This window comes from Homo sapiens, chromosome 12 (genome assembly GCF_000001405.40).
Source record: "Homo sapiens chromosome 12, GRCh38.p14 Primary Assembly".
NCBI lineage: Eukaryota > Metazoa > Chordata > Mammalia > Primates > Hominidae > Homo > Homo sapiens.
In genome coordinates, this window is record NC_000012.12 from 123222272 (window position 1) to 123232910 (window position 10639).

Sequence of the window (10639 nt, forward strand, 5' to 3'; positions counted from 1 at the left end):
CTAAAATCATGTCACTGCACGCCAGCCTGGGTGACAGAGTGAGACCTTGTCTCAAAAAAAAAAAAAAAAATTGATATAACGTATTGTTTTTTCTTACAAATATAAAAAAGGATGCTGGGTGTGGTGGCTCACGCCTGTAATCCCAGCACTTTGGGAGGCCAAGGCGGGCAGATCAAGAGGTCAGGAGTCCCAGACCAGCCTGGCCAACATGGTTGGTACTAAAAATACAAAAATTAGCCAGGTATGGTGGCACACACCTGTATTCCCAGCTACTCAGGAGGCTGGAGCAGGAGAATTGCTTGAACCTGGGAGGCGGAGTTTGCAGTGAGCCAAGACCGTGCCATTGCACTCCAGCCTGGGCAACAGAGTGAGACTCCATCTCAAAAAAAAATAAATGAAAATAAAAGTAAAAAAGGGCTGGGCAGGAGGCCGAGGTGGGTGGATCACCTGAGGTCAGGAGTTTGAGACCAGCCTAGTGAACATGGCAAAACCCGTCTCTACTAAAAATACCAAAATTAGCTGGGCGTGTTGGCAGGTGCCTGTAATCTCAGCTACTCGGGAGGCTGAGGTAGAAGAATGGCTTGAACCCAGGAGGCAGAGGTTGTAGTGAGCTGAGATCAAGCCACTGCACTCCAACCTGGGCAACAAGAGTGAGACTCCATTTCTATATATGTGTGTGTGTATATATATATGTGTGTGTGTGTGTGTGTATATGTACGTATGTATATGTATATAAAAAAAGGAATCAATGTAAATGGTAACTTACTTGAATTTGGTTGTGGAACTGCTCCTGCTGGGCAACTATCTGTTCTTGGCATTGTTTTTCCACCAAATTGAATAGCTGTAACCACCTGGTCTATTAAATTATAAAATATTTTAGTTAAAAATAATTTTTTGACTTAACATTTCACAGAACAATTCCTCCAGTGTAAAAGAGCCCTTTTTAGGTCATGATCCATCCCAAATCCCAAGAGCCATCAGCACTCTCATAGCTAGAGTATGCTGGCGCGCCACACCAAGAGAGCAGGGAGTTCTACAGAAGGCTACGTTCAGCCTCAAGGCTGGGAAACTTTCAGCCACAGACCACATGCAGCAATATACAACATCAGGAAGTGGCTATGAAAACTAACTGCCTGCGTAAAGCCTTTCAGCATCTTTCCACTCCTAAGCTCTCCTTAGACGGCTCTGCACTGTCTGTCTCCTACGCACCTCTCCACTTCATCCCAGCCCTCTGTCCTTTGCTGACTACGCACCTGCCTCACGGGCATCCTCTGTTCGTGAGCATGCCAAAATTGTCTCCCACCTCACAGCTGAGCACCTGATGTGCCCATCACCTCGCGAGCTCTTGCACAGCTCTCACCATGACTGCTGTCTTCCCACCCTGCAATTTCAGCCTAATTGTCATCTTCTCAAACCATCCTAACAGTTCCTTTCTTTCTTGTCATCCTATTTATTTCCTTCATAGTATTTGCCACATCAGAAAGTCTCTTAAATGTTCACTTTGTGAACTCTGTCTCCTACCCCTGCCCCACTCTAACTCCAAGCTCTCCACTAAAAACTCGTGGGGTCCTGGACAAATTAATTTGTACCTCAGTTTCCTACTTTATAAAATGGGAATAATAATATCTCATAGATGGCTAAAAGGATTAAGTTTTATTTATTTATTTATTTTTTTTTTTGAGACGGAGTCTCTCGTTCTCTCACCCAGGCTGGAGTGCAGTGGCATGATCTGGGCTCACTGCAACCTCCGCCTCCCGTGTTCAAGCAATTCTCATGCCTCAGCCTCCCAAGTAGCTGAGATTACAGACATGTGTCACCATGTTCGGCTAATTGCTAATTTATATATATATATATACACATTTTTTTTTTTTTTTTTTTTTGGAGACAGAGTCTTGCTCTGTCGCCCAGACTGGAGTGCAGTGGCATGATCTCGGCTCACTGCAAGCTCTGCCTCCTGGGTTCACGCCATTCTCCTGCCTCAGCCCCCAAGTAGCTGGGACTACAGGCACCCGCCACCACACCCGGCTAATTTTTTTGTATTTTTAGTGGAGACGGGGTTTCACCATGTTAGCCAGGATGGTCTCAATCTCCTGACCTCATGATCCGCCTGCCTCGGCCTCCCAAAGTGCTGGGATTACAGGCGTGAGCCACTGCACCCAGCCGAATTTTCATATTTTTTAGTAGAGACATGGTTTCACCATGTTGGCCAGGCTGTTCTCGAACTCCTGACCTCAAGTGATCCACCCGCCTCGGTCTCCCAAAGTGCTGGGATTACAGGCCTAAGTTTTAAATTTAAATATGATGCAGTGATCTCAATGGGGAAGGAACTCCATGTTGGAAATCTGTGAGGTCACGGTCATGACAAAGCTGGGGGGACATCACTGGCATTTAGTGGGCAGGGTCCAGGCATGCGGATCATAGGGCAGTCCCCCATGATGAAGAATTGTCCTGTGTCCATTTTATGTTATAAAACAATAAATATTTCGCACAGTATTCATAACATCAAAACAAACTTAAGTTTCAAAATCTCATGAGAAGTTGGTCACCCTTTCAGAAAAGCATGTCACCAGTGGAGGTGCTGTACACAATACCTGGATCATCAACACACCATAGCTATATTGATCTGTGTTCAGCTGCTGAATTCACAGTGAGTACATACAGGTAAACATGACTACTTCATTATGTCTTCTAATGAACATGTGCCTGACATGGATATATCCAAATACATGTTATTTTACTGTAAATTTTTTATTTCTCCTTTATGTCACATTTAGGATAGTATATTGATTTTTTAAAGCGGGTAAAGGTAGGTTATATTACCTATGAATTTCATTTCAGGATAATATAAATTGATGTTATTTTGAAAGCTGTTATAAAAACAGAGCTCAGAGGCTGGGCACAGCGGCTCATGCCTGTAATTCTAGCAGTTTGGGAGGCCAAGGTGGGTGGATCATTTGAGTTCATGAGTTCAAGACTAACCTGGGCAACATAGCAAAACCTTGTCTCAACAAAAAATGCAAAAATTAGCTGGGCATGGTGGTGTGCACCTGTAGTCCCAGCTACTTGGGAAGCTGAGGTGGGAGGATGGCTTGAGCCCAAGAGGTTGAAGGTACAGTGAACAGAGATTGTGCCACTGTACTCCAGCCTGGATGACAGAATGAGACCCTATTTCAAAAAAAAAAAAAAAAAGAAAGAAAGAAAAGAGAGAGAATGAAAGAGGAGAAAAAGAAACAAAGAAAAGGAAGGAAGGAAGAAAGGAAGGGAGGGAGGGAGGGGGTGGGAGGGAGGGGAGAGGAGAGGTGGGGCAGGGAATATATTCTGATTCTGACTTAAGATGCTAATGTCAAAAAAAAAAGGTTGATTTCTAATTATCAAAAGTAACAATTTCTAGTTAAACACAAATTTTCCAGAAGTTAAAATACATTGTGGCAATGCCTCCTTTGTCCTAAAGCATGTTAATTCAGTTATCAAAAGCTAATAAGGGCTAGCCACGGTGGCTCATGCCTGTAATCCCAGCACTTTGGGAAGCCAAATCAGGCAGATTACCTGAGGTCAGGAGTTCGAGACCAGCCTGGCCAACATGGCTAAACCCCTTCTCTACTAAAAATACAAGAATTAGCTGGGCATGGTGGCGCTCGCCTGTGATCTCAGCTACTCGGGAGACTGAGGCAGGAGAATCACTTGAACCTGGGAGGCAGTGGTGGCAGTGAGCCGAGATCGCACCATAGCACTCCAGCCTGGGCAACAGAGCAAGACTCTGTCTCAAAAACAAACAAACAAATAAACAAAAAGCTTATGAGTAGATACATTAAGGGAAGCATTTAATATACTTAATAAAACATTCCATTTTTAATTGCATTTGCATGGGCATTTTTAAAGGTCTTTCACGTTAGTGCATACTGATTATTATATGCAAACAAGCATAAAGTATAAAAACTGAAAACTCAATTTTTTAAGCATATAATAATACTTTTTTATAATTTCAATAATTATGGATAATGGATATAAATAATTACACTTAGCAGTTGCTGCTATCGAATTCTTAAACCAGGTAATCTTTCATTTCGCTTACTCTACATTCTGAAAAATAACACAAATTATGCTTCTAAAAGTACAATTAACGTTTAAAACAAGATCTAGTGCTTTCTAAGAATTAATAATGGTTTAAACATTTCTATAAAAAACTATCAAATCCAGCCTTAGGAAAGTCTATCTTGAGCATTATCCTATGAAATAAAATTTATATATACTTTTTTTTTTTTTTACTGAGGGGGTCTTGCTATGTTGCCCAAGCAGGTCACAAACTCTGGGCACAAGCTATCCACCTCTGCCTCAAGTGCTGGGATTACAGGTTCTCTTTTTTTATATATAGAGAGAGACAGGGTCTCAGTCTGTCACCCAGGCTGGAGTGTAGTGCTGTGATCATAGCTCACTGCAACCCTGACTTCCTGGGTTGAAGTGATCCTCCCACATCAGCCTCCCAAGTAGCTAGGACTACAGACACCGTGCCACCATGACCAGCTAATTTATTTATGTATTTATATTTGTAGAGACAGGGTCTCGCTATCTTGCCCAGGCTAGTCTCAAACTCCTGGCCTCAACCAAACCTCCCACCTTGGCCGCCTAAAGTGCTGGGATTACAGGCGTGAGCCACTGTGCTCGGCCATGTAAGTATTCTTTTAACTGTTACATTTTTATATCACAATTTAACCTATGAACCAAAGAAAGAACCACTGATCTGAAAACAATATAATGCAATGTATCACAGCTGAATATGGTAAGGTACTAAATAGAAGCTTCAATTTATAATTAGAACATTGAAAATATTTCAAAGTGGATTTAGGTTTTTCAAAATGATGACAATTCCATATAAGTTACTGACAACATTACAATTAGTAACAATTTTAATAATTTTGGGATTCTCAGGTCTCTGAACCAAGACAATGTTTTAGTTCATATTTAATATACAAATTAGTATGTCTAATCAGTAATATATTGTTAAAAAATACTTTTGATCACCTTTTTCCCATTCATTCAATATCATTCCCAAATTAATATACTTGACCACTTTAGCATTAACTTAAAAGTGTCATGCTCTTCAGGACATAAATTTCTAATAATTTAGAGTTTAGTAGAGGTATGTTTTAACATAATTATTTTAAAATTCCAAAAATAAAACAAAATTAGATACCTCACAGTTTTTCCAAAGTTCCGAATCAGTCTTTCCACTGTTTTGTAGCTCTTGCATTAAAGAAGTTAGGACTTCAACTGTACCTTGAATTACAGATGGTCTGGTCTTCCCTGAGAAAGAGGATACCCCATTTGTACTAAGGTGGGGACTACTTCTGTTGAAACATAAATAATTCAAATGGTTTTCTTCATTCTATCAAAGTGTTGAATAATTCAGCAGTTCAAGATTTAGCAGAGCAGTACAAAACCACTGACATTTAATCCTTCTAATGGCACCTCATTTGTTCAAAATCTGATCACAAGTTGCTCCACAAAAGGAAACGGCCAGTAAAAAGACCGCACTGTACTCTTTTTAAGAACACAACAAGAAGACCTTCTCCAGAAGTGAGAGAACACTCCAAAGGATCGGCAGAAAATAGAAAAAGTCTGTGCTAAACAATAAGATTAATTTCCAGCTTCTCTGATCTCAGCTATTCCAGAGGATTATTTCCCCCAACTTTCAGAACAGCCCTTCATTGTGCAGTGGGGATTCTTTCCCCACTGCCCCAAATGACAGTCAAATCTTGTTCACTGGACACCCTTAATTTGGTACGATAAGCTGATGCTTATCTCTGCACTATCTCTGCATAAAAGTTGTGCCAAGCAAATCAGCAGCAAATATTCAGGACTTATTTAGCCTACTCAGTGTGTAAAACAGCACTGAGTTTTTCCAGGAGTACTGCTTTTCCAAACTTCAGGTAAGTTATTTCGGATTTGTTTTATAAACACACAATATATTTCAGGACATTAAAATGTACTTAAAATCTAGTCACCAAAAGATCATTTTAATTTATTTACTGCTTGATATCCTGCTTTCTTTCACAAATAATTTGTTTAAAAAAATAAATAAAAATAACAATAAAATAATAGTTAGGACCAGTGAAAATATTACTAAAAATTCAAAGGAGGCCAGGCGCAGTGGCTCACGCCTGTAATCCCAGCACTTTGGGAGGCCAAGGCGGGCGGATCACCAGGTCAGGAGATCAAGACTGTCCTGGCCAACATGGTGAAACACCATCTCTACTAAAATACAAAAAATTAGCCGGGTGTGGTAGTGCGTGCCTGTAGTCCCAGCCAATCAGGAGGCTGAGGCAGGGGAATCCCTTGAACCCAGGACACGGAGATCGCAATGAGCTGAGATGGCACCACTGCACCCCAGCCTAGTGACAGAGCAAGACTCCGTCAAAAAAAAAAATTCAAAGGAAAGAATATATGTTATCAGTAAAGGATTTTACATAGCTGTAATAATCAAGTTTAAATGTGGCCAATTTAACTGCCAGTCACAATGAAAAGGAAGACAAGTTTAATTGCCTAATTTTCACTAGCAAGGCACAGTTAGCTTCCTCCAGCCAAATCAAACACTGTTCTAACAGGAATATCTTCTAGAAGTGTACTTTAAAGGGACCACCAAGTAATACAAGAACCAAAATGCGTGGCCAACTTTCTGCAAGTGCATACAGATTACTGTAGGACCATTTCCTGTGCCTTTTAAAATTTCCTTTTCTCGTTTTATTTCACATATTCCTTTGTTTTTTACAACTCCCCACCCCCATTGTTTTATATACCCATGTAAGCTGCCTTAAATTCCTCCTGAAAAGGGCAGAGAATTAACAACTTTTAAAGTAATGTATTTATTTATAATACACAATTTCTTCAAGACCTACCGTGTTTAAAGCTCCTTGCCCCTTTACCAGTAAGGCCCCAAAACCGCTGTTTTCCTTCCTTGTACCCGCTCTTTATAGATGCTCTCCTCTCTTACAGTCCTTGCCTCTTTGCTGTTTCTACACTACTATAAATTTAGAAACCCAATAACCAAGCTTGTCAGACTATGTGCAAATTGAAAGTAAACAGGCTCTGATGAAAAACAAACCATGATCTGTGTTAAGACCATTAAAAAATAAAAAACCAATCACAGGATAGCTTAAAAATAAAATGCATTTTAAAAAATTAATAAAATGCATAAAACACACTTTGATAACATCTATTTAGTCCACTATTTTGTCTACTTAGAGTCTGTTATTGTCTTAACTTCCTAATACTCAACTTTAACTGCTACTTCCCACATTGGTGAAGTATTTCTGCAACATAAAACATCAATTGTCCCAATCATTTAAAAATGTAGAAATAATATTTAGGCAACTAAATGTTAAAGATATGCTTGTAATTTACCAAAAACAAACAAAAAAGTATAAAGGAAAGTAAAACAAGCAAAACAAGTTCTTTTTCAGAATGCTTTCCATGCAAAAGTACATATCTCTGAGAGAAATGAGAAACATGAAAAGACCAAACCTATTCCTGACTTAAACATCTGTCCCCGAACATTTTTTTTTTTTTTTTTTGAGACAGAGTGTCGCTCTGTCGCCCAGGCTGGAGTGCAGTGGCGCAATCTTGGCTCATTGCAACCTCTGCCTCCCAGGTTCCAGCAATTCTCCTGCCTCAGCCTCCTGAGTAGCTGGGACTACAGGCGCGTGCCACCACACCTGGCTAATTTTTGTATTTTTAGTAGAGACGAGGCTTCACCATGTTAGCCAGGCTGGTCTCCAACTCCTGGCCTCAGGTGATCCACCCGCCTCAGCCTACCAAGGTGCTGGGATTACAGGCATGAGCCACCGCGCCCAGCCTCCCTGAACATTCTTGATGATAGGTTAAAAAATAATAATAATTCAAATCAGTAACTATGACACTATTTGGATAAGTTGATAAACGTATGCAAATAAGGTTATTCTGATTTGGTACATTTTTTTTAAATCCCATTCTTACCTATCAGTATTTAAGTTCAGTCCAAGAGAATGAAGAGAATTTTCATCAGATCCTACAGAAGATGAAGTTTTGTGTAAGGTTTTCACCAAGTCAAACTCTTCCATAGTGTACAGAAATTGTTATATTCTCTTATTGGAAAATAAAGGTTCTTGGGCTGTTTGAGAAAAATGAATCCGTGTCATCTTCAGAGGCTTCATCATCTACTGGCATTTTCAGTGGCTAACATTCAGAACTGTGAAATATCCTAAACTTCCAAGAGAGTCTGAAAATGAATGGGGGAAAAAAATACTACTATAAAAAGCCACCAAAGCTAGCAACTGTTTTTACATAACTTTGGAAACCTTAACTGCTTTCATACAGATCTCCATTAAGGATAGCAACAGTATTCATAATAATCAAAATGTAGAAACCACCCAAATGTCCATCAATGGATAAATGGATAAACGAATGAAGCATATTCATAGAACAGGATAGGATTCAGCCATAAAAAGACACATGCTACAACATACATGAACACTGAAGATACTATGCTAAGTAAAAAAAGCCAGTCACAAAAGACCACAGACTATATGATTTCATTGATATGAAATATCTTGAATGGGCAAATTCATAGACAAATGGCTGCCAGGAGCTGGGGAAGGAGAGAATGTGAGTGAGTGCAGCTGGTATGGAGTTTCTTTTTGGGGTGATAAAAAATTCTGGAATTAGATAGTGGTGATGGCTGCACAACCTTGTGAACTAAAAACCACTGAATTGTACACTTGTAAAAGACTGAATTTTATGGTATGTGAATTATGTATCTCAATTAAAAATCTACATTAAGGATTATTTGCAAAAGTAGCATCACCTTTTTCAGGTAATATTTCAGATTTTTATATGTTTAATAATCAAGGTTCTTTTTTTTAGAGACAGCATCTTGCTATGTTGCCCAGGCTGGTCTACAACTCCTGGCCTCAAGTGCTCAGCCTCCCGAGCAGCTGGGATTATAGCGCAAACCATTTTGCCAGGCTTTACAATGAAAGTTCTAGATATAATTCTATTATGTAACAATTGGAATACTTGCATGCCTTGTTCATTTGTTTAATAAATTCTACCAAGTATATATGTTTGTTGACTTATACAGAGACAAGAAGAACTGAACTACTTAATATTTAATTTGTATTAAAAAGAGCCAATTAAACTGTTAACAACCATAGCTTCCCCATTGTCTGGAAGTACATTTTGAACTATATATATGGTCTTTTGTCTCTGTGCAGCTATTCTTAGAAAATAAACCACTGGGCACACTGGAGCCTGCCTGCAGCTACTGGGAGCATGTCCCAGCTACTCTGGAGGCTGAGGTGGGAGGATCACTTCAGCCCAGGAGTTCAAGACTGCAGTGAGCTATGATCCTGCCACTGCACTCCAGCTTGGGCAACAGACCAAGACCCCATCTCTTAAAAAATAAAAATAAAAATAAAAAAATTATTTGCCAGGCCAACTAAAATTTCAGTGAAGCTGGATATATACCATGGCAAATTGGCTGTAACAGGTCAAACAAGATGCCTCCTTCCTGGGGAATTCATGCACTTATAAAAGAGCAAGGGAGCAAGAGGAAAAAGGAGAAAGAAAGAAAACTTCAGCTGCTTACAAACTGAAAAGCTTAGAGAGTGCAACAGGAATATTATCTAGTATTCCGCTTCTGCTAGATTCCCACTTTCTAGGGCCTGCTTTTATAAAGCATTACACAAAAACAGGGACCATTTCCTTCAGGGACAGGAGTGAATGCAAAGGGTAACCGGACCTAACTAAATGGACTTTTCCCCAGTGGCTCAGCCCATCACCCACGACAAATGGGGCATTGAAACAGTCAAGGACTGCCCCTTCCAACTGGCAACAGAAATACCTGGATTCCAATCACCATGCTATTACACCAGGAAAACACAAGCTCTCCAGGGAGATGAACCTGCAACCCCATCTATTATTTCCCCTGCTAAGGTAATCCGGATCCGGATGCAGATCCAGATGGAAAACCACTAGAAATTCAAAGATGCTTCTCCATTTGGGGTGGAGGTGCTGGGGGGAGGGCAGGGAAGTAAGAGGGAAAAATCCTTAAACACCCACAAATACAATGCAAAAAAAAATTTTTTTAACTTGATACAGAATGAATATAAGAGCAGAGCTTTTATATTTCCCAGCAACAAGATATGACGCTTTTGGTGTCCCTACCCCCTAGCAAAAAAAGGGAGCTGGGGAAAAGGAACGATTGATGGTTATGAAACATGAAAGTTAACTGGGCGCTCCGCCTTGACGGGAGGCTTGGGGGAGAGGAAGAGATTTCAGATGGGGATGAGGCCAGATCCCGACATTCTGAGCTCACAGTCAGCCCGCAATGGCTGGTGGCGGCTATCGGGTCAAAGTGGGAAGGAGAGGGAGAATCTATGCAGTCGCCTAAGCTACGGAAAGCAGGGAGGACGGAGAAAAGCCACCGCTCCTGCAACTACAACCGCGATTCCAAAAGGAAACCGGGGCACCTTGGCAAAAAATGGGGGGAAAAATTAAAAAAACCCCACAAACCCCCCGCCCCTCAGGAAGAGCGATCTGCGATTGGGCCGCGCGAGTGTCACTCAAGGGCGCCGAGTCTAGAAAAGGCGCACCGCGGCCGGGCAGA

The 10639-nt window shown here is 40.6% G+C and overlaps 1 protein-coding gene across 24 annotated transcripts in view, besides 2 other annotated features; it reads right to left on the minus strand.

The window, feature by feature from the left end:
* MPHOSPH9 (M-phase phosphoprotein 9) overlaps window positions 1–10639 on the minus strand; it is a 91679-nt gene that overhangs the window by 69948 nt on the left and 11092 nt on the right. For 20 of the 24 annotated variants that reach the window (XM_017018673.2, XM_047428066.1, XM_047428065.1 and 17 more), the window contains exons 2-4: window positions 7990–8251; window positions 5192–5345; window positions 767–856 (exon numbers count right to left, since the gene is read on the minus strand). In XM_017018673.2, coding sequence (XP_016874162.1) covers window positions 767–856; window positions 5192–5345; window positions 7990–8093 — 348 coding nt within the window. In that variant the 5' untranslated portion in view covers window positions 8094–8251. Of the gene's footprint in view, window positions 1–766; window positions 857–4016; window positions 4081–5191; window positions 5346–7989; window positions 8252–10639 lie in introns of those variants that run through there. The other 4 variants (NR_103517.2, XM_047428069.1, XM_047428063.1 and 1 more) reach the window with 4 other exon arrangements.
* Window positions 1204–1273: an enhancer, noted in NCBI's record as "active region_7253". NCBI's record gives its function as "activates an Ori minimal core promoter by ATAC-STARR-seq in GM12878 lymphoblastoid cells {active_cell/tissue: GM12878}" and the evidence as "EXISTENCE:reporter gene assay evidence [ECO:0000049][PMID:35858748]".
* Window positions 1334–1423: an enhancer, noted in NCBI's record as "active region_7254". NCBI's record gives its function as "activates an Ori minimal core promoter by ATAC-STARR-seq in GM12878 lymphoblastoid cells {active_cell/tissue: GM12878}" and the evidence as "EXISTENCE:reporter gene assay evidence [ECO:0000049][PMID:35858748]".